Source organism: Homo sapiens, chromosome 16 (assembly GCF_000001405.40).
Source record: "Homo sapiens chromosome 16, GRCh38.p14 Primary Assembly".
Taxonomy (NCBI): Eukaryota; Metazoa; Chordata; class Mammalia; order Primates; family Hominidae; genus Homo; species Homo sapiens.
Genome location: NC_000016.10, coordinates 69,330,767 through 69,352,344, shown reverse-complemented (window position 1 = coordinate 69,352,344; position 21,578 = coordinate 69,330,767). Strand labels below are relative to the sequence as shown.

The 21,578-nt window shown below is 47.1% G+C and overlaps 3 protein-coding genes across 11 annotated transcripts in view, besides 6 other annotated features; 2 read left to right on the top strand and 1 right to left on the bottom strand.

Annotated features, from left to right (window-relative positions):
• The first annotated feature begins 558 nt into the window (after positions 1-558).
• TMED6 (transmembrane p24 trafficking protein 6) lies at positions 559-9,095 on the top strand. Its single transcript, NM_144676.4, has 4 exons — positions 559-804; positions 2,694-2,820; positions 4,409-4,557; positions 8,705-9,095. The coding sequence occupies exons 1-4, from the start codon at positions 592-594 to the stop codon at positions 8,936-8,938; spliced, it is 723 nt and encodes a 240-aa protein (NP_653277.2). The 5' UTR covers positions 559-591; the 3' UTR covers positions 8,939-9,095.
• Positions 9,239-12,573, bottom strand: NIP7 (nucleolar pre-rRNA processing protein NIP7). 2 transcript variants are annotated; one of them, NM_016101.5, is made up of 5 exons: positions 12,460-12,573; positions 12,253-12,339; positions 12,013-12,151; positions 11,025-11,165; positions 9,239-10,812 (listed from the first exon to the last, which is right to left on the bottom strand). In NM_016101.5, the coding sequence occupies exons 1-5, from the start codon at positions 12,513-12,515 to the stop codon at positions 10,693-10,695; spliced, it is 543 nt and encodes a 180-aa protein (NP_057185.1). In that variant the 5' UTR covers positions 12,516-12,573; the 3' UTR covers positions 9,239-10,692. The 2 variants fall into 2 exon arrangements, with proteins under 2 accessions (NP_057185.1, NP_001186363.1); NM_001199434.2 differs by lacking the exon at positions 11,025-11,165.
• Positions 12,195-12,274: an enhancer, noted in NCBI's record as "active region_11037". NCBI's record gives its function as "activates an Ori minimal core promoter by ATAC-STARR-seq in GM12878 lymphoblastoid cells {active_cell/tissue: GM12878}" and the evidence as "EXISTENCE:reporter gene assay evidence [ECO:0000049][PMID:35858748]".
• Positions 12,455-12,574: an enhancer, noted in NCBI's record as "active region_11036". NCBI's record gives its function as "activates an Ori minimal core promoter by ATAC-STARR-seq in GM12878 lymphoblastoid cells {active_cell/tissue: GM12878}" and the evidence as "EXISTENCE:reporter gene assay evidence [ECO:0000049][PMID:35858748]".
• Positions 12,781-21,578, top strand: part of COG8 (component of oligomeric golgi complex 8) — a 13,137-nt gene continuing 4,339 nt past the window's right edge. Inside the window, exons 1-6 of one of the 8 annotated variants that reach the window (NM_001379261.1) lie at positions 12,781-13,169; positions 15,633-15,840; positions 16,997-17,824; positions 19,463-19,631; positions 20,970-21,110; positions 21,250-21,532. In NM_001379261.1, the coding sequence (NP_001366190.1) occupies positions 12,793-13,169; positions 15,633-15,840; positions 16,997-17,824; positions 19,463-19,631; positions 20,970-21,110; positions 21,250-21,506 (1,980 nt within the window). In that variant the 5' untranslated portion in view covers positions 12,781-12,792 and the 3' untranslated portion in view covers positions 21,507-21,532. Of the gene's footprint in view, positions 13,170-15,632; positions 15,841-16,996; positions 17,825-19,462; positions 19,766-20,969; positions 21,111-21,210; positions 21,533-21,578 lie in introns of those variants that run through there. The other 7 variants (NM_001379262.1, NM_001379264.1, NM_032382.5 and 4 more) reach the window with 7 other exon arrangements.
• Positions 12,995-13,044: a silencer, noted in NCBI's record as "silent region_7659". NCBI's record gives its function as "represses an Ori minimal core promoter by ATAC-STARR-seq in GM12878 lymphoblastoid cells {active_cell/tissue: GM12878}" and the evidence as "EXISTENCE:reporter gene assay evidence [ECO:0000049][PMID:35858748]".
• Positions 13,055-13,104: a silencer, noted in NCBI's record as "silent region_7658". NCBI's record gives its function as "represses an Ori minimal core promoter by ATAC-STARR-seq in GM12878 lymphoblastoid cells {active_cell/tissue: GM12878}" and the evidence as "EXISTENCE:reporter gene assay evidence [ECO:0000049][PMID:35858748]".
• Positions 20,448-21,095: an enhancer, noted in NCBI's record as "H3K27ac-H3K4me1 hESC enhancer chr16:69365153-69365800 (GRCh37/hg19 assembly coordinates)". NCBI's record gives its function as "activates a minimal SCP1, AML or CMV promoter by ChIP-STARR-seq in primed H9 embryonic stem cells {active_cell/tissue: H9 hESC(primed)}" and the evidence as "EXISTENCE:reporter gene assay evidence [ECO:0000049][PMID:30033119]".
• Positions 21,320-21,578: part of a silencer, noted in NCBI's record as "silent region_7657", that runs on past the window's edge. NCBI's record gives its function as "represses an Ori minimal core promoter by ATAC-STARR-seq in GM12878 lymphoblastoid cells {active_cell/tissue: GM12878}" and the evidence as "EXISTENCE:reporter gene assay evidence [ECO:0000049][PMID:35858748]".

Genomic DNA, 21,578 nt, shown 5'->3' with positions numbered 1-21,578 from the left:
GTCTTTCAGTGGGTTTGGATAGCTTTAGGTGACCGTTAGGTGAAAGGCATCAGGACGAGGACTGTCAGTGGAGGGGTCTAAGCACCATCCTCTGGCACTGTATTCATCCATTTACATCTTTGCACACACATGCTGTGATTTGCTCTGAGCTGCAGCATTGGGGAGAGAGAAGTGTTGCCCCATGTGTTTATAGGAGCAATTTGATGTAAGAGAACAATCCCCCCAGCCAACTTTTTGTCAGTGTATTCAGAAGTTGTAAACTTACCCACTATTATATCCCCAAGAAGCAGGAACTAAAAAATGACAGCCCTAATGAAGGGTGGAAAGACCTCTTCTGAGGTGGTAGATTCTATGTAGCACCCATGAAGTAGGTTTGGTAAGCCACTGAGTTTTTGAGGTGAAAGCAAAATTTCCTCCTGCGAGCCAAACATGGGAGTATCATGGCAGTTCTATGATGAATATCTATGTGTGGCCCTGAAATGGGCCGTAATGTGACTTGTGGAGTTAATCATTAGCCCAGCGGTTGTCTGAACGACTTGATTTCCCTGGGCTGCGAGCAGTTCACCTGCAGAGGAGGCTCCAGAAAGCGGCATGTCCCCTTTGCTCTTTGGGGCTGGGCTGGTCGTTCTGAATCTAGTGACGTCTGCCAGGAGCCAGAAGACAGAACCTCTAAGTGGCTCTGGGGACCAGCCACTCTTCCGTGGAGCTGATCGATATGACTTTGCCATCATGATACCTCCAGGAGGCACGGAATGCTTTTGGCAATTTGCCCACCAGACTGGATACTTCTATTTCAGTTACGAGGTATGTGGGTGACTGGCCATACTGGGGGGCTTTTTTTTTTCTCCTTTACTCATAAAGTGGGTCAGGTTTTAGGCCAAAACAAGGTCTGGTTGTCTTTATTATGCTGTGATTCCCCACCTGTTAATGAAATGGACCTGCAGTTAGAGGGAAACTCCAGCTGGGTGAATAATCACCAACAGGAGCTAAAACATATGGTTTGGCTTCTTACATCAGGGGCCATGCTCAAAGCCATGGGGCAGACGGGGTGCCTCTCCCTGAAGAGGTAATCATTACATGTACTCGGATTTGGGGATGAGAGGGGAGAGAATACATTTTTAATATATTAAAACAAAATTGGATAATGGTGCTTTGGAGACTGATCCAGAGATTTCAAAGAAGGCTGCTTCAGCTTATGGGGTGGGGGAGTAAAGGTTCTGCTGCCTTTAGGAGCAATTCTGGCAAGTCAGAGATTCACTAGGTCAAGTTTTTTGTATTCGGCCAGTTAATCCTATTTTTTTTTTTTAGGACGGTAAGTGTTTTCAAGTTACTTATTCAAAGGTCAAGTACTTTTACCCATACTATGGTCTTATATCATGCTGTCCAAGGATGGTGAACTCAGTATGAAAGTTAGAGGCTGTTCATTTCCTTTGTTCTTTATCTTAGAAATCGGTTAACTTTCTAATTTTTGTTTACATAGTAATAGACTTTGTTGATCTTACTCCACTGTAACAACATTTATTTTAAATAAACTTATCAGAGACTTTTCTTACCTCTGAATTTCTATTAGAACAGCAGCCACTACTAAGCTCACTGTGGCCTGGCCTAATCAAGATCTAGCTTGGGAGCAAGTGTCCATGGAGTGCTTGTTGTAGGTGTGCACTGCCAAGCAGCAAATGCCCAAATCTGGGACATCATTGGGGAGCTCAACCACCAAGCAAGTTCATTCAAGAACTCTACAGCCAGGCCGGGTGCGGTGGCTCACATCTGTCATCCCAGCACTTTGGGAGGCTGAGGCAGGCGGATCACCTGAGGTCAGGAGTTCGAGACCACCTTGGCCAATATGGTGAAAACGCATCTCTACTAAAAATACAAAAATTAGCCGGGCTTGGTGGCATGTGCCTGTAATCCCAGCTACTTGGGTGGCTGAGGCAGGAGAATCGCTTGAACCTGGGAGGTGGAGGTTGCAGTGAGCCAAGATCACTGCACTCCAGCCTGGGTGACAGAGCAAGACTCCGTCTCAAAAAAAATAAAAAATTCTACAGCCAGAATCGTACTTTTTTTTTTTTTTTTTTGACAGAGTGTTGCTCTGTCGCTCAGGCTGGAGTGCAGTGGCATGATCTCGAGTCACTGCAATCCCTGCCTCCCGGGTTCAAGCAATTCTCCTGCCTCAGCCTCCAAAGTAGCTGGGATTATAGGCGCACGCCACCATGCCAGGCTAATTTTTGTATTTTTTAAGTAGAGACAGGGTTTCACCATGTTAGCCAGGCTGGTCTCGAACTCCTGACCTTGTAATCTGCCCACCTCGGCCTCCCAAAGTGCTGGGATTACAGGCGTGAGCCACCGCGCCCGGCCCAGAATCATACATTTTAGTGGATCCACACTAGCTGTGTGTTCCGAGCAAGGCATGTCTTCTTCACACGGGTGCTGTTGGCATTCTGGGCAGTTCTTTGTCCTGCTGTACTGTTTCTTACATTGCAGACGTTCAGCAATGCTGTGCTGCCTCCCCTTAACACCATCACTGTGATACCTCAGAATCCTCCAATCAACTCCAAACCCCAGCAGGGGGTTGGGCAGTCCCACCCCAGACAGAGACCGCTGTGCTGATGACCGTGGGACGTCAATCTTACCACTCAGCTGGCTTCCTCGTGATGTAGCAGGGGTTCTGCTACCTATTTAATGTGTCTTGGCAGGTTCAGCGGACAGTGGGGATGTCACATGACCGGCATGTTGCTGCCACGGCACATAACCCACAGGGATTTCTCATAGACACCTCCCAGGGTGTTCGGGGCCAGATTAACTTCTCTACCCAAGAGACAGGTCTGTTTTCATTACCATGGCTATTATAATAATCATAGGGTCCTATGAAATTACAGAAATAATGAGGAAGTATACAGAGATGTTTTAACAGTAGGAAAAAAATTCAGCCTTTAACACCAAAAACCAGTGTTCCTGGAGGCTGCTGACCTCCAAGGATGCCAAGTGGCAGTCTACTGACGATTTGGGGGCAACACTCCAGGTGAGCATTCTAAGTCTAGGGTTCAGCCGCTCAATTTTATCTCATCATCTCCAGTTAATCAGATTCTGGGAAAGTGACCAAAAAACAGAGACCCATTTATAATACAGAATTCCAATTAACAAATGGATTACAGGGAAGCATGTCTTTCCAGTCATCAGAATATTTGAGTCAGTTACTAAAAGCAGATTCAGAACAAAAGAAAATGCATGATATCCATGTGAGATATCCACACTCCACAGCAAAGCACTCCTCCAGCCAGGTCAAGCCTGTCCCACTTTGGAGAGCAGCAGTGTCTTAACTGCCCTCTTTAATAGCCAGCTGCACTAAAAAAGACATTTTCTCAACAGGGGCATCAGACAGTCCTTCACTATGAAGCACAGCATGTGTATCAGTGTTAAAAGATCTTGAACAGGCTGGGCGTGGTGGCTCACACCTGTAATCTCAGCACTTTGGGAGGCCAAGGTGGGCGGATCACCTGAGGTCAGGAGTTTGCGACCAGCCTGACCAATATGGTGAAACCCCGTCTCTACTAAAAATACAAAAATTAGCTGGGTGTGGTGGCAGGCGCCTGTAATCCCAGCTACCTGGGAGGCTGAGGCAAGAGAATTGCTTGAACCTGGAGGCAGAGACTGCAGTGGGCCGAGAGCGCGCCATTGCACTCCGGTCTGGGCAACAGAGCGAGACTCGTCTAAAAAAAAAAAAGATCTTGAACATCTTTGGCCCCTACATGCCAGTAGTGCCTTCCAATCATTTTGACTTTCAAACACTGCCACACCTTTCTAATCCCACCCCACCCATCTTCTACCGGTCCTCTCCACCTTGCTCCTTCCCACCCGCTCCCCACCCCGCGCCCCCCTCCCCCCCGCACACACAAAGGGAGGCAACCCCAGCCCCAACAGATATAACCAAACCATGAGTCACTGTACACACCGCCTTGGAGGCAATCACTCCAGGAGAGCTGCTTTCATGCACTATGCATCTATTTTTTTTTTTTGTCTTTCCTAATTTCAAGTTCAAGATGGTGTCCCTAGCTTTAATTGTATACAAGGACCAGGCAAACACCATGCTCTTAACTTCAACTCAATCTGTTGAGCAGGAGTTCCTTAATACAAGATGTGGGAATTATATGTTAAAGAGAAAACATTGTTTGCCACTACCCAGTATGGAAAGAACGAGTTACTAAAATTTGGCCAAATATAATAAGTAATATTTAGTATAAGTTTAACATAAGGTCCGTGTCTTCCATGTCAAAAACGGGATCTTTGTACTTTCTAAGTAAAAAGAAGGTCCTGTAGTAGAATTCCAAAACTAGAGGACAGATACCTCCAGGGAATCCTTAACAAAGGGGAGGAGACCAAAGACTTGGTAATGATCTAAGAATTCCTACAGGTTTTTATCAGCTTTGTCTAAGTAATCAGCATAATCACTTCGGTTCTGTGCAAGTGTACCTCAACTTTGGGGTCTTCTATGAGGGGCCTGAGACTGATCACAAACAGAAGGAAAGAAAACAACTGAATGATACTCTGGATGCAATTGAGGTAAGGAAGTGTTTTGTGGAAGAGAAACATCTGTGGAAACTGATTTTTAACTTCAGAGGGAAGATGACTTCATTTAGGTAGAAACCAAACAGGCAAGGGGATGTGAATTTCTTCATAAATTATGACTTGGCTGGGCACGGTGGCTCACGCCTGTAATCCCAGCACTTTGGGAGGCCGAGGTGGGTGGATCACCTGAGGTCAGGAGTTCGAAACCAGCCTTTCCAACATGGTGAAACCCTGTCTCTACTAAAAATACAAAAATTAGCTGGGCGTGGTGGTGCGCACCTGTAATCCCAGCTACTCGGAAGGCTGAGGCAGGAGAATCGCTTGAACCCTGGGAGGCAGAGGTTGCAGTAAGCCGAGATCACGCCACTACACTCCAGTCTGGGATACAGCAAGACACCGTCTCAAAATAAATTACGACTTGAAGCTCTTGAAATTCCATCTTCGTTTTATACCAAGGGTTGGCAAACTATGTATGGCTGACAGGCCAAATCTGGCCCATTGCCTGTTTTTCTTTAAATTGAGATATAATTCATACACCGTACACCATCTAAAAGTGTGTAAGTCAGTGGTTTTTTAGTATATTCACAAGGCTGTGCAACTATCAGCATCTAATTCTGGAAGTTTATCACCCACCCCACCCTCAAAATCCCACTCCCCATTAGTCATTCTCCATTCTATTACCCCAGGCCTGCCTATCACTGTTCTACTGTCTCTATAGATTTACCTATTCTATACTTAATTTTTGAGACAGGGTCTCACTCTTGTCCAGGCTGCAGTGTGCAGTGGCTTGATCACAGCTCACTGCAGCCTCAACCTCCTGCGCTCAAGCAATCCTCCCACCTCGGCTTGCCAAAGTGCTCAGATTCAGCACTTTGAGCCACTGAGCTGAGATTACTCAGCATTATGAGCTACTGTGCCGAGATTAATCAGCACTTTGAGCCACTGTGGCTGGCCTCTATACACTTTATTTAAATGGAATCACACAGTACATGGGATTTTGTGACTGGCTTATTTTTATTATTTTTTGAGACGGAGTTTTGCTCGTTGTCCAGGCTGGAGTGCAATGGCGCAACCTCAGCTCACTGCAACCTCTGCCTCCAGGGTTCAAGTGATTCTCCTCCTCCCAAGTAGCTGGGATTACAGGCACCTCTCACCATGCCCGGCTAATTTTTGCATTTTTAGTAGAGACAGGGTTTCACCATGTTGGCCAAGCTGGTCTCAAATTCCTGACCTCAGGTGATTGGCCCGCCTCGGCCTCCCAAAGTGCTGGGATTACAGGTATGAGCCACCGCGCCCAGCCAAGACTGGCTTCTTTAATTTAGCATGTTCTCAACGTTCATCCATGTTGTAGCATGTATCAGTACTTTTCTTTTTATGGCTGAATAATACTCTCTTTTATGGATACACATTTTATTTATCCATTCATCAGTTAATGGACATGATGGATATTTAGGTTTTTCCACCTCTTGGCTATCATAACGTGGCTATGGACATTTGCATGCAAGTTTTTGTGTTAGCATGTTTTCATCTGTGTATACCTGAAAGTGGAATTACTGGAGACTGTTTACCACAGTGGCTAAACCATTTTAAACTCTTGCTAGCAGTGTATGAAGGTTCTAATTTCTCTACTTCCTCATCAACACTTATTTTTTGTTACAGTCATCCTAGTGGGTGTGAAATGTTATCTTGTGGTTTTGAGTTGCATTTCCCTAATGATTAATAATGTTGAGCATCTTTTCACGTGCGTATTGGCCATCTCTCTTCTTTGGAGAAATGTCTGTTCGAGTCCTTTGCCCATTTTAGGCCAGGCCAGTTGGCCCAACACCTGTAATCCCAGCACTTTGTGAGGCTGAGGTAGGATAGCTTGAGCCCAGGAGTTTGAGACTAGCCTGGGAAACATGGTAAGACCCTGTCTCTACAAACAAAACAACTTTTTAAATGACCCGGGTGTGGTGGCACATACTTGTGGTCCCAGCCACTCGGGAGGCTTAGGTAGAATTGCTTGAACCCAGGATGTCAAGGCTGTGACAGTGAGACCCTATCTCAAAAAAATGAAAATCCTTTGCCCATTTTACTTTTTTTTTTTTTTTTTTTTTTTTTTTTGAGAGAGTCAGTCTGTCGTCCAGGCTGGAGTGCAGTGGTGTGATCTCGGCTCACTGCAACCTTTGCCTCCTGGGTTCAAGTGATTCACCTGCCTCAGCCTCCTGAGTAGGTGGCATTACAGCCACGTGCCACCACGCCCACCTACATTTTGTATTTTTAGTAGAGACGGGGGTTTCACCATGTTGGTCAGGCTGGTCTTGAACTCCTGACCTTGTGATCTGTCCAGCTCAGCCTCTCAAAGTGCTGGGAATACAGGCGTGAGCCACCGCACCCTGCCTGAATTGTCTTTTTATTGTTGAATTTTGTTTATATATTCTGGATACAAATCCCTCCTAAGATATGTGAGTTGCAGATATTTTCTCCCATTCTGGCAATGTCTTTTCACTTTCTTTTTTCTTTTTTGAGACGGAGTTTCATTCTGTCTCCCAGGCTGGAGTGCAGTGGCGTGATCTTGGCTCACTGCAACCTTTGCCTCCTAGGTTCAAGCGATTCTCCTGCCTCGGCCTCCTGAGTAGCTGGGACTACAGGCGTGTGCCACAATGCCCAGCTAACTTTTGTATTTTTATTTATTTATTTATTTATATTTTTTTGAGACAGAGTCTCGCTTTGTCACCTAGGCTGGAATGCAGTGGCACAATTTTGGCTCACTGCAACCTCCGCCTCCCGGGTTCAAGTGATTCTTATGCTTCAGTCTCCCAAGTAGCTGGGATTACAGGCGGGTGCCACCACGCCTGGCTAATTTTTGTATTTTTAGTAGAGATGGGGTATCACTATGTTGGCCAGGCTGGTCTTGAACTCCTGACTTCAGGTGATCTGCCCACCTTGGCCTCCCAAAGTGCTAAGATTACAGGAACGAGCCACCGTGCCCGGCCACTTTTCACTTTCTTTTTTTCTTTTTTTTTTGTTGAGACAAAGTCTTGTGCTGTCGGCCAGGCTGGAGTACAGTGGCACGATCTCAGCTCCCTGCAACCTCTGCCTCCCGGGCTCAAGCAGTTCTCCTGCCTCAGCCTCCCGAGTAGCTGGGATTACAGGCGTGTGCCACCACACCTGGCTAATTTTTGTATTTTTAGTAGAGACGGTGTTTCACCATGTTGGCCAGGCTGATCTTAAACTCCTGATCTCAGGTAATCCGCCCGTCTCGGCCTCCCAAAGTGCTGGGATTACAGGTATGAGCCACTGCACCCGGCCACTTTTCACTTTCTTAATAGTCTCTCCTAAATGCACAAAAGCTCACTGCCTGTTTTTGTAAATGGAAGTTTTCTTGAAACACAGCCATGCTCATTTGACAATTACATATTGTCTGTGGCTGCTTTTGTACTACAATGGCAAGAGTTCAGCAGTCACAGGGGCCTGCAAAGCCAAAAATATTTACCATCTGGCCTTTTAATAAAAAGTCCACAGGCCCTTGTCTTCTACCATATACAGAGAACATAAAACATCACCTGGAATGGTAACGACATGCTGAGTACATCTAAATCTAGAGGTCCTCTGGAAGAGCTCTCTAGTTTGAGTACTGAAGTTTTCCATTATTTAAAAACAAAACAAAAGGCCGGGGCAGTGGCTCATGACCATAATCCCAACACTTTGGGAGGCCAGTGTGGGTGGATCTCTTGAGCCCAGTAGTTCGAGATGAGCCTGGGCAACATGGCAAAACCCTGTCTCTACAATAAAAAAAAAAAAAAATTAGCTGGGTGTAGTGGCATGTGCCTGTAGTCCCAGCTACTAGGGAGGCTGAGGTGGGAAGATCACTTGAGCGCAGAAGGTTGAGGCTGCAGTGAGCTGTGACTGCGCCACTGTACTCCTGCCTGGGCAAACAAGTGAGACCCTGTCTCATAAAACAAAAACAAAAATTTTAAACTCAAATCCAGACCATATTTCATACATAGCAAACACAACATTTAACAACTATCATTGTATTGTACATCTTAAAATCATATGGGTAAATTATTTGACTTGAGATAGGTTAGTGCTAGTGAGCGCTCAGGTGAGGCTAGATGGGGGTTTGGAAGAATCCCCCTTAAAATTGTCTCTCTCATAGGACGGCACACAAAAGGTGCAGAACAATATCTTTCACATGTGGCGATACTACAACTTTGCCCGGATGAGGAAAATGGCTGACTTTTTCCTTATCCAATCAAACTATAACTACGTGAACTGGTGGTCGACAGCCCAGAGCCTTGTTATTATTCTTTCTGGGATCCTGCAACTGTATTTCTTGAAGCGTCTCTTCAATGTTCCAACAACTACAGATACAAAGAAGCCAAGATGCTAAGCTAAGGTGACTATAGCACCCTGGCTGTTTTCTTCTGGGGCTTAGTCGAATCAGCTTTGTAATGTTATGGGACAAAAATCAATTATCTCATTAATGTTTTAGTCTGCTGCACACATCTAAAAAAGCAAAATGGCAATAAAATCATAACAGTGAAAAAGTTCTGAAGAAGTATGTATTAAATGTATGCATCAAAATACTGTTCATCATATAGCAGTCCCTTAGCCTTCACTGAGTCTACTTAGAGGCTAACAGAAAACCTTAGAAGGAAGATGAGTTGAAAAAGGCCACAATCAAGTTTGCTTACATATAAAAGCAGGAGTTGGTAATGTTTTATTCTTAAAGACTTCACCTTTGGAACTTAAAATAAGCAATATATTCATTAAAGAAATAGTTTAATTTTGCAATACAGATAGTCTTTAAATTTTTTGTCTATAAAATATTTAAAGAAATATTCTAAGGATCTTAAAGTAACTTTGGGAGGCACGGGGAAGGACAAAGGGACTGAATTTTTATGTCGTGGCCTCTGATCAGTGCTTTTAGTCCAATCCAGTCAAGTAAGTAAAGGTTCATAGAAAAAATTGTTTTATAAAATCATAGTGATGAAAAAAACTTTCCAGCCTAGCGTCATCCCATCCAAGAAAAATACTGAGAAAACAGCTTGTAAAAAAGAAGGTAATAAAATCAAATTATACTCATAAAACTCTACACTTAATAACAGGAATACATAATATATATAATATAAAAATAATTACCATTTATTCCATACCTATCATTTCCAAGGCACTGTACACTGTACTAGATGCTTTACAATCAGATGGAGTCTCACTCTGTCACGCCCAGGCTGGAGTGCAATGGCACCATCTTGGCTCACTGCAAGCTCTGCTTCCCCAGTTCAAGCCATTCTCCTGCCTCAGCCTCCCAAGTAACTAGGACCACAGCCATGTGTCACCACACCTAATTTTTTTTTTTTTTTTAGTAGAGATGGGGTTTCACCATGTTGGCCAGGCTGGTCTCAAACTCCTAACCTCAAGTGATCCGTCCGCCTTGGCCTCCCAAAGTGCTGGGATTACAGGCGCGAGCCACTGTGCCCAGCCTACAATCATGATTTCTAATTCCAAAAATCAGACTTTCTAATTCTCAGGTAGATGGCCAAAGCTGATTTTCAAGTTTTGTGTCTTTTTAAACAGAAGAAAATGAACCTTATTAAAGCTGAATGACTCATTCAAGGCCATATAGCTGGTAGGTGGCAGAAGTGGGGTTTGAACCCGTTTTTCTTCTATACCACACACCAATTACTGTATAGAAAAATAGCTGAATTGCTCCTATTAGCCAAATTTCATTTTTAAAACCCCACATGTGGTTTATTATTCTGTTATGGCAATGTCTATGTTGCATATTAATAAAAAAGAAAATCCTTGTGTTTAGAAAACAGTGTTATCACAGATAACAATAAGCTATTCTTGTTCCTGGTTCCAATGATTTTGAACCTATTTCTCAGAACAAGAAGCCCTCTGATTCAAATATGAAACAGTATTCTATTTCGTCACAAAGATCTGAAACCCCATTTTTGAGCCATCTCTGTATATAATAAGAATCCAGCCTGCATTTGTCAGTGATAGAGAGTACAGTAAATAAGAAGTCCCTGAAGAGGCCAGAGTGTTGACAAAATTCAACATGATGGTGGAGTCCACACAAACACAGGAAACAAAGCTCGGCCTTTCCATACAGCCGTCTGTCCTTGGAATGGCTTCGTTTTAAGTCAACGTCTCTTCATGCCGCACATATTCCCCAATGTCTGCTTGATGAAATACCACAATCGCCATGGGGTCTACTTTTCTGCAGTCTTGTGTAGATTTGGCTGCCACCCCAAAACCCTGGGATTCAAAAGAAGAGACACTAACTCACTGAAGTCATTCAATATGCCCATATTGAGGGCTGGAAATAACAAAGACGGAAAAAATACAGTTCTGGTCTTTCTGGGATTCAAAACGTGCTGAGAATTTATTCTCTCAAGCACTCAGATTGAAGACATACCCTTCTTGAATAAGAGTACTTGAGTTCTGTAACAGCTACCATCTCTACTCACCAAAGGGATGTCTGCCATGGAGTACACCACCACGCCCTGGTACTGAGAAGTATTTTCAGTGATTCGACCCAGACCAGATTTCAACACATGGTTCCCATACAGGAAGGACTGCTCTGCACCAGGCTTTATCCAAACTTTATACTATAAGAGAATTAAAATCCAAGAGACATAAAAACGTTACTATTTCTATCCATGCAGACAAGCTAGCTGCTGGATCTGTGAATAATTTTCTGAAATAATTTTAAGGGAAACAGAGAGACTCATGTTTTCCTCAAACTGTCTATCTCCTGAACAGAAATGCAGGAAGTTGCCCGGTGCAGTGGCTCACGCTTGTAATCCCAGCACTTTGGGAGGCCAAGGCAGGTGGATCACTTGAGGCCAGGAGTTCGAGACCAGCCTGGCCAACACAGTGAAACACTGTCTCTACTAAAAACACACAAAAAAATCAGCCAGGTGTGGTGGCACATGCCTGTAATCCCAGCTACTGAGGCACAAGAATCACTGGAAACTGGAAAGTGGAGGCTGCAGTGAGATCGCACCACTGCACTCTAGCCTGGGCGACAGAGTGAAACTGTGTCAGGAAGAAAGAGAAAGAGAAATGAAAAGAAAAAACAGAGCAAGAAAGAAAAAGAAAAAAATAGAAAAAGTTATTTTCTCAACTCTACAAGGATCATCCTCCATGGCCAGGTTAACAGCTCTTTTTCTGGACCCCGGTGTCTTCATTGCTGCCACTTATTTGCTTTCTGATCTCTAGCTGGGTCTCCCTAGGCTCTTCTACTTCGCTGGAGAAAACTAACCCTACGCAGCCACATAGCATTCCTATCCCATAGCCCTGACCATGCTCAAGCTGCAAGACCTCTACACATCTCCATGTGCTGAAACTCCTCCAAGCACACTGTCAGGGACTCTGTGGGAGAGAAGCTGCCGGACAATCTGCCTAATCCTTGACTTCATCGCCCGTGGCAGAATTGGAAACCGCCCCACAAACCTTGGCATAAGGTGCAAGGTAATCCAGAGCTGTGACGTGCAACCGAAACTTGTGGGTTTTAGTGAATTTTCCAAAGCAGGTCCCCAGCGACACCAGCTTGTCCCCGGAAATATTGGCGGCCAGCTTCATAATCTTCTCACTAAAAGGGTAAAGGGGGAGCAAGGTTGCGGATGAAGGAGGCTCGTGGGACCCAGGACCCCTCTCCCCTGGGTCCATGCTGCCTGCCCGGCCCCGCCTCACCTCACATAGTACACCCGGTCGTTGTGCAGACGGAAACAGTAGGTGCCATCGGGCCGGTCCACCAGCAGTTGAAGATTCTCCCCAATGCTGAGGGCAAAAAGAGGACTGGAGACCGCGCCCGAACGAACCGGTCTCCGGCACCGCGCCCCCACTCCACCCTTGGCCACCACACCCACACACTCCCGCGTCCGCCCCGCGCGCTCCTACTATTTCGCTATCTTCTCAAACATGACACGGGTCTCCTCTTCAGTCAAAGGCCGCATTTTTCCCCCTGGGTTGGAACACCGGATCCTCGTGCCTTGGTAACTGGAAACGGAAGTCGGTCGCTCGCTGCTCCCCGGCAATCCCAAAGCCTTCCTCTCTAGCCCCGTACCAATAGTTCGTCTCGCTAGCGCCCAATAGTCTGGACGACCGCAGGGGAAAGCAAGCCGGCCGGATGAGAAAGCATAGAGACCGGAAATGTGCCTGTTTCTTCCTGTCCTAAGTTCGGAGTCAGCGCCCCTTGTGGTCCGGAAGGGAAGTGACGTTGTTGCTGGGAAGATGGCGACCGCGGCGACTATCCCATCGGTAGCCACGGCCACAGCAGCGGCTCTCGGCGAGGTGGAGGATGAAGGGCTCCTGGCGTCGCTGTTCCGGGACCGCTTCCCCGAGGCCCAGTGGCGCGAGCGGCCCGATGTGGGCCGCTACCTCCGGGAGTTGAGCGGCTCGGGGCTGGAGCGGCTGCGGCGCGAGCCCGAGCGCCTGGCGGAGGAGCGGGCGCAGCTGCTGCAGCAGACGCGCGACTTGGCCTTCGCTAACTACAAGACCTTCATCCGCGGCGCCGAGTGCACCGAGCGCATCCACCGCCTGTTTGGCGACGTGGAGGCGTCGCTCGGCCGCCTGCTCGACCGTTTGCCCAGCTTCCAGCAGAGCTGCAGGTGCGACGCGCCTGGCGCTAAAGGGGTTTTATAACTGTAAAAGCTGACATTTACGATGGTAGAAATAACTAACACATAAAGCGTTTACCACGTTCCAGGTTCTCTGCTGAGCGCTTTATTAATCCATTTAAACCTCACAACAGCCTTCGAGATAGGTACTGTTATTCCTTTTTTATCTTTTTTGAGACGGAGTCTCGCCCTGTCGCCAGGCTGGAGTGCAGTGGCGAGATCTCGGCTCGCTGCAACCTACCTCTGCCTCCTGGGTTCAAGCGATTCTCCTGCCTCAGCCTCCTGAGTAGCAGGGACCATAGGCGCGCGCCACCACGCCCAGCTAATTTTTTTGGATTTTTAGTAGAGACGGGGTTTCAGCATGTTGGCTGGGATGGTCTCGATCTTTTGATGTCGTGATCTGTCCGCCTCGGCCTCCCAAAGCGCTGGGATTACAGGCATAATCCACTGCGCCCAGCCCTGTTATTTCCATTTTACATATGAGCAAGTCAAGACAGAGATTAGTGACGTCCAAGGACACAGCTAGGAGGTTTCGAATTCAGAACTGGTTACCCAGAAGCACGTCCCTCCCTCGAAGGGCAGTTGTGGGCACAAAGAAAAAGGATTCATGCAAAGCTCTTATTATCGGGTCTGACACAGTTAACATTATAGGTGTGAGCTGAATATATGTGCACATTTATATACTTATTTTATACGAAAGCGTGGACCGGAGGTCATCTGCTTCAAAACTTCCATTGACGGGAAGGTGACAAGGAAATCCTCGCATTTGAGGGCATCAGATATCAAAAAGTCTCTCCATTTGGATGGCTGGATGTGGTGGCTCAGCCTGTAATCCCAGCACTTTGGGAGCCTGAGGCTTGAACCCAGGAGTTCGAGAGCAGCCTGGCCAACATGGCAAAACCCTGTCTCTATAAAATAAAAAATTAGCTGGTCGTGGTGGCGTGCGCCTGTAGTCCCAGGTACACAGGAGGTTGAGGTGGGGGGGTCAGTTGGGCCCGGGAGATTGAGGCTGCAGTGAGCCATGATTGTGCCACCGCACTCCAGTTTGGGAGGTCGAGGCTGCGGTGGGCTGTGATTGTGCCACTGCATTCCAGACTGGGTGACAAAGTGAAACTCTCTTAAAAAAAGAAAAAAAGGCTGGGTGCGGTGGCTCACACCTGTAATCCCAGCACTTTGAGAGGCCAAGGCAGGCGGATCACGAGGTCAAGAGATCGAGGCCATCCTGGCTAACATGCTGAAACCCCCATGTCTACTAAAAATACAATTAGCTGGGCGTGGTGGCACGCGCTTGTAGTCCCAGCTACTCGGGAGGCTGAGGCAGGAGAATTACTTGAACCTGAGAAGCGGAGGTTGCAGTGAGCCAAGATGATGCGTGCCACTGCACTCCAGCCTGGTGACAGAGCAAGACTCCGTCTCAAAAAAAAAAAAAAAAGTCCTTTGTGAGTCATATTCTGTCTCCATTATCCCTAGTTCTGCCTTCCAGCCTTTCATGATTAAAGTTTAATTTTTCTTTTGAGCCTTTGGATATTTGACAGCAGCTTTTGTACCCTTCCATGCTCCAGAATAGATAGGGGACTTGATAAAGCAGGTCTCTGCAAATATGGAGAAGTGTTGAAAGTAGACTGTGGCAGGAACTATGGTTGAACATTAGCATAGGAGAAGATGAAGACCTGAGGGGAAAGATTGTGGATTCTAGGCAGTTAGTGCTTCATTTTGAAAATAATGATAGCTACTGTTAAATATTTAACTGTGTCTCTTTTACTATTTTTACTTTGACGCATTCGCTCTGTTTCAAGTTCTATGTTAAATGCTTCACACACATCATCTCATTTAGTTCTTACACCCTTATGAGGAGGGTCCTATATACTTTTTTTTTTTTTTTTTTTGAGACGGAGTCTTGCTTTGTTGGCCAGGCTGCAGTGCAGTGGCGCCATCTCTGCTCACCGCAACCTCCACCTCCTGGGTTCAAGTGATTCTCCTGCCTCAGCCTCCTGAGTAGCTGGGACTACAGGCGCGCACCACCATGCCTGGCTAATTTTTTGTATTTTTAGTAGAGATGGGGTTTCACTTGAACTCCTGGCCTCAAGTGATCCGCCCACCTCAGCCTCCCAAAGTGCTGGGATTACAGGCGTGAGCCACTGCGCCTGGCCCTATATACCGTTTTACTAATGAGGAAATAGGTTCAGAGAGGCCAAGTACCTTGCCACAGCCAGCAAGTGGCATATCTGGATCTCCATCTGTTAGATTTATTAATTGTATGTTTTTGGACAAGTTGCTTAACCTCTCTGGGATTAAAAATTTCCTCAATTGTAATAATACTTACCTTATAGGTGGGGTGTGAGGAATAAATCAGATAGATCATCCAGCCCAATGTTCATAGCAGGTACTTGGTAACTGTAGCTAAGGTTTGGGTACAGAGCAGTGAAGGATCAACATTCTTCTGATTATTACTAGGAACTTTGTGAAGGAAGCCGAGGAGATCAGCTCCAACCGCCGGATGAATAGCCTGACCCTAAACCGGCACACAGAAATTTTGGAAATACTGGAGATTCCTCAGCTCATGGACACCTGTGTCCGGAACAGTTATTATGAAGAGGCCCTGGAGCTTGCAGCCTACGTACGCCGACTGGAGAGGAAATACTCTTCCATCCCTGTCATCCAGGTAGCCACCTTGCCCAGAGAGGACTCAAAGTAATGTTCTTGTAATCATTTATTCTGTGGTCAGGACTGAAGCTTTAGGTAGAAACTCTTGCATGTTTCACATCAGTTTCTGCCAGCCAGGTATGCCTGAACAGAAAACATTCATTTATTCAAAATACATATTAATCATGTGCCAAGCACTGCTCTATATGCTGGGGATACAGTGTGAATAAAGTGGTCCTGGCTCTCATGCAGCTTACGTGCTAATGGGAAGTCTGATAATTGACAAAGAAATGATATCATTTCAGATAGTGGTGTCTGAAGAAAAAAACAGGGAATGGGGTAAGGGAGTCTAGGGTAGGTTTCTTTAGGTAGGGTGATCAAGAAGGACTCTTCTAGGGAGGTAACATTTAAGCTGAGACCTAAATGAGAAGGAGGTGCCAGCCCACAAAGATCTGGGGAGAGAGCAAACCAGAAAGTGTGAAGAACAAGTAGAGAGGGCTGAAGTGGGCAGAAATTGAGGTGTTTAAGGGATACAGAGGCAGCCAGGGTTAATGGATTGTAGCAGCGGGAGAGCACTAGGAAGCAGGTGAAGATGGAGAGCCAGGTAGGGCCACCAGTGTAAGTCCCAACAAGTGGTTGGAATTTTCTTGATTGCAGTGGGAAGTCACTGGAGGATTTTAAGCTTTTTTTTTTTTCTTTTTTTTTTTTGAGACAGAGTCTCGCTCTGTCCCCCAGGCTGGAGTGCAGTGGTGCGACCTTGGCTCACTGCAACCTTTATCTCCCGGGTTCAAGTGATTCTCCTGCCTCTGCCTCCCGAGTAACCGGGATTACAGGCCTGCACCACCACACCCACCTGATTTTTATATTTTTAGTAGAGACGAGGTTTCACATGTTGGCCAGATTGGTCTCAAACTCCTGACCTCAAGTGACCTGCCTGCCCACGGTGCTGGGATTACAGGTTTGAGCCACTGCACCTGGCCAGGTTTTAAGCTTTTTAAGCAAGAGAGTTAACTAACCTGATCTTTGTTGGTGAACCTACAGGCATCAGCTTTAGGAAATTACTTCACATTTCAGGAAAGCCATGGGAATGTTGGTCTGCAGTCTTCAGAGTTAGGGGAATGGGTTCTAGAGAGCATCCTTCCCAGCGCAGTGTGACTCTCTCTGTGTATTGTCAGGGCATCGTGAACGAAGTGCGCCAGTCCATGCAGCTGATGCTGAGCCAGCTGATCCAGCAACTGAGGACCAACATCCAGCTTCCTGCCTGCCTCCGTGTCATTGGCTACCTGCGGCGCATGGACGTCTTCACTGAGGCTGAGTTGAGGGTGAAGTTTCTTCAGGCCCGAGATGCTTGGCTCCGGTCCATCCTGACTGCCATTCCTAATGATGATCCCTATTTCCATATTACAAAAACCATCGAGGCCTCCCGTGTCCATCTCTTTGATATCATCACCCAGTACCGTGCCATCTTCTCAGACGAGGACCCACTGCTGCCCCCTGCCATGGGTGAGCACACTGTGAATGAGAGTGCCATCTTCCATGGCTGGGTGCTACAGAAGGTCTCACAATTCCTGCAGGTGCTGGAGACCGACCTTTACCGGGGCATAGGCGGCCACCTGGACTCTCTGCTGGGCCAGTGCATGTACTTTGGGCTGTCCTTCAGCCGGGTGGGAGCTGATTTCCGGGGTCAGTTGGCTCCTGTTTTCCAGCGGGTGGCCATCAGCACTTTCCAGAAAGCAATTCAGGAAACAGTGGAGAAATTCCAGGAAGAAATGAACTCCTACATGCTCATCTCGGCTCCAGCCATCCTGGGCACCAGTAACATGCCTGCTGCTGTGCCAGCCACCCAGCCGGGGACGCTGCAGCCACCCATGGTGCTCCTAGATTTCCCACCCCTCGCCTGCTTTCTCAACAATATTCTGGTTGCCTTCAATGATCTGCGCCTCTGCTGCCCTGTGGCCCTGGCGCAGGATGTGACTGGGGCCTTGGAAGATGCCCTTGCCAAGGTGAGCACATTCTGTTGGTTTTCTGCTACCCTGGGCCTTCTCTGGTAATGGGTGGCCAGATTTTTGTAATAAACCCGTCTATTTGACGGTGTCTGCTGACATGGAGAGGTCTAGTGTGGTTTTGGAGGTTCTCCTGATTGAGAAGCTCTGGCCAGTTGCCCTTCATGGGACCTAGGACAGTCCATGAAGTGATTTGCCTATAGTAACAATTCGGTAATACACGTATTAGCTTTCTAGTGCTGCATAACAAATTTCCACAAACTTAGTAGCTTCCAGCAACACATTTATTACCTTCCAGTTTTGGTGGGTCAGGAGTCCAGGCACAGCACAACCGGGTCCTCTCTGCTCAGGGTCTTACAGGGTTGCCATCAAGGTGTTGGCTGGACTATGGCCTCATCTGGAGGTTGGGGCTCCATTTCAGACTCATGCAAGTTGGCAGGGGTCAGTTCTTTGCAATTGCAGAACTGAAGCCTCAGCTCCTAGAGGCTGTCCACTCCATAGGCAGCTGACAACATGGCTGTTTGCTTCCTCAAGGCCAGCAGGAGAGCTACTCTCTTGAGTCTCTTCTTTTAGGTACCTCCTTTTAAAAACTTCATTTGATTAAGTCAGATGATTAGGGACTTTAATTACATCTACAAAACCCTTTACCTTTAGCATATTCTTTTATTTTTATTGTTAAAAGTGTTTTATTTTACAGAGAGATAGTGTCTCCCTATGTTGCCTAGGCTGGTCTCAAACTCCTGGACTCAAGTGATCCTCCTGCTACAGACCCTCAAAGTGTGGGATTACAGGTGTGAGTCACTTGAACTTGGGAAGTCCAGCATCAGAGTCTGTGTTCTTACCCTGTCGCTATGCCACATATCTGTAGTGTCAGCTAGGCTGCTCTGTTGGTTTTGAAACTTCTCTTTCCTAGCTGTTTTCTTACAGTTTTCCAGTGGTTCTAGCTTTCTGAAACCTCGGGGCTTAGTAGAAAGCTTGTATAGTTTTGCTTCATTTTCCTGGATCCAGCACAGTTCTGGTTGGTCCTCCGTGGAAGTTAAGAACCATGTATTGGGCCGGGCGCAGTGGCTCACGCCTGTAATGCCAACACTTTGGGAGGCTGAGGTAGGAGGATCTCTTGAAGCCAGGGGCTCCAGACCAGCCTGGGCAACAAAGCAAGACCCTGTCTCTACAAAAAATTTTAAAACTTAGCCAGACGTGATGGTGCACGCCTGTAGTCCCAGCTACTTGGGAGGCTAAGGTGGGAGTATCCCTTGAGCCCAGGAGTTTGAAGCTACAGTGAGCTGATTGTGCCGCTACACTCCAGCTTAGGTGACAGAGCAAAATCCTGTCTCTAAAAAAAAAAAAAAAAAAACCAAAACCATGTATTCTCTCTATAGTTTTATGACACTCCTCCACTGGAACCGGAAACTATACCCGTAATGTAACAAGTTGGGTCTGAACTTCACATTAATAAAGTGACACAATTGTGGACAATGACCATAATTCTGAGTTTAAATGAGACAGTAAAATAATGTACTGTTAAATTACTTTGTTCAGGAAAACTGGAGGGGCATACATTTTTTTGCCTAGTTTCATGCACTGCTGTCCCAGTGGTGATAGGCTGTCCCAGTAATTGACGGTGCCCTTGTCTCTTAGGTAACTAAAATAATCCTGGCCTTCCATCGCGCTGAAGAGGCTGCCTTCAGCAGCGGGGAGCAAGAGCTCTTTGTCCAGTTCTGCACTGTCTTCCTGGAAGACCTTGTTCCGTATTTAAATCGCTGTCTCCAAGTCCTTTTTCCACCAGCTCAGATAGCACAGACTTTAGGTAAGAGAATGAAAATTCTGTAAACTGCCTTACTGATGTGTAATTCACATACTAAATAATTCATCCATTTGTGTAAGTCAGTGTTTTTTAGTAAATATGAATCCAATTTTAGAATATTTCCATCACTCCAAAAAGATCCTTCATGCACGTTTGTAGTCATTCCTCGACAGCATCCTTAGTCCCTGGCAACCTACTTTCTGTTGCCATAGATTTGCCTCTTCTGGACATTTCATAAAAATGGAATCATACATTATGTGGCTGTATCTGGCTAAGCGGAAGAAGCCAGTCACAAAAGAACTACATACGTATGATTCCATTTATGTGAAATATCTAGAGAAATGGTTTTTACAGTCTTTTTTTTTTTTGAGGCGGAGTCTCGCTGTGTTGCCAGGCTGGAGTGCAGTGGCACAGTCTTGGCTCACTGCAACCTCCACCTCCCGGGTTCAAGCAATTCTCCTGCCTCAGCCTCCCGAGTAGCTGGGACTACAGACTCGCACCACCACGCCCAGCTAATTTTTGTGTTTTAGTAGAGACGGGGTTTCACCATGTTGGCCAGGATGGTCTCTATCTCTTGACCTGTGATCCGCCCACCTCGGCCTCCCAAAGTGCTCGGATTACAGGCGTGAGCCACCACGCCCGTCCTAAAGTCTTTTTTCCAATTCACTTTCACGTCCTTGTCCCTTTGTGGTAGGAGAGGGGCTTGGTTGAGGCACAGCTTCCCAAAGGGCAATGGGTCAGTGCATCACACGTGCAAAGCCTGGCTGCCCTCTGCTTTTTCCCTGGTGCTGCCTGAGGTCTGGGTTCCTGCTGCAGGCACCCTACACTGCTGTTCCGTTACGTTCTGCTTCACAGTATAGCTTCCCATTCCCTGTAACAAAGGTGGTTTTTGCTGTATTAAAACATAGTAATTGATGGCTGGGCGCAGTGGCTCATGCCTGTAATCCCAGCACTTTGGGAGGCCGAGGCGGATGGATCACCTGAGGTTGGGAGTTTGAGACCAGCCTGGCCAACATAGTAACTCCGTCTCTACTAAAAATACAAAAATTAGCCTGGCATGGTGGCGGGCGCCTGTAATCCCAGCTACCACGGAGGCTGAGGCATGAGAACTGTTTGAACCTGGGAGGCAGAGGTTGCAGTGAGCAGCAATCACGCCACTGCACTCCAGCCTGGGCGACAGAGCGAGACTGTCTCAAAAAAAAAAATAGTAATGGCTCGTTTTTTTTCCCTTAAATTTCCTTTTTTTTTTTTTTTTTTTTTTTTGAGACGGAGTTTTGCTCTTGTGGCCCAGGCTGGAGTGCAATGGCGCGATCTCGGCTAACTGCAATCTCCACCTCCTAGGTTCAAGCGATTCTCCTGCCTTAGCCTTCCCAAGTAGCTGGGATTACAGGCCTGCGCCACCAAGCCCGGCTAATGTTGTATTTTTAAGAGAGATGGGATTTCTCCGTGTGGGTCAGGCTGGTCTCGAATTCCTGACCTCAGGTGATCCGCCCCCCCCTCCCCGGCCTCCCAAAGTGCTGGGATTACAGGCGTGAGCCACCGCGCCCGGCCTCCCTTAAATTTCTATATTGAGTTTTATTAGTAACTGTTTTCCATTTTGCTTTCCCCACGTCTGGGTTAGGCATTCCTCCCACTCAGCTCTCCAAGTACGGTAACCTAGGGCATGTGAACATCGGCGCCATTCAGGAGCCCCTCGCCTTTATCCTGCCAAAGAGAGAGACGCTTTTCACCCTGGATGACCAGGCGCTGGGGCCCGAGCTCACAGCTCCAGCACCAGAGCCTCCCGCCGAGGAGCCACGCCTGGAGCCCGCGGGCCCAGCCTGCCCGGAGGGAGGGCGAGCGGAGACGCAGGCCGAACCGCCCAGCGTGGGGCCCTAGCCGGCGTCCCCTGCCTCCAGAACGCGGTGCGTGAGGTTCCCGGCGCGGGGTGGCCAGGACTGCCTCGCCCTG

Bases quoted from the DNA above. Each gene is read 5' to 3' on its own strand.
- NIP7 (NM_016101.5), bottom strand. From the start codon at position 12,515: ATGCGGCCTTTGACTGAAGAGGAGACCCGTGTCATGTTTGAGAAGATA. The intron at 12,340-12,459 runs GTAGGAGCGCGC...TTTTGCCCTCAG, and splicing joins TTTGAGAAGATAGCGAAATA to CATTGGGGAGAATCTTCAAC. The intron at 12,152-12,252 runs GTGAGGCGGGGC...TTACCCTTTTAG, and splicing joins GACCGGGTGTACTATGTGAG to TGAGAAGATTATGAAGCTGG.
- TMED6 (NM_144676.4), top strand. From the start codon at position 592: ATGTCCCCTTTGCTCTTTGGGGCTGGGCTGGTCGTTCTGAATCTAGTG. The intron at 805-2,693 runs GTATGTGGGTGA...GTGTCTTGGCAG, and splicing joins ACTTCTATTTCAGTTACGAG to GTTCAGCGGACAGTGGGGAT. The intron at 2,821-4,408 runs GTCTGTTTTCAT...GAATTCCTACAG, and splicing joins CTTCTCTACCCAAGAGACAG to GTTTTTATCAGCTTTGTCTA.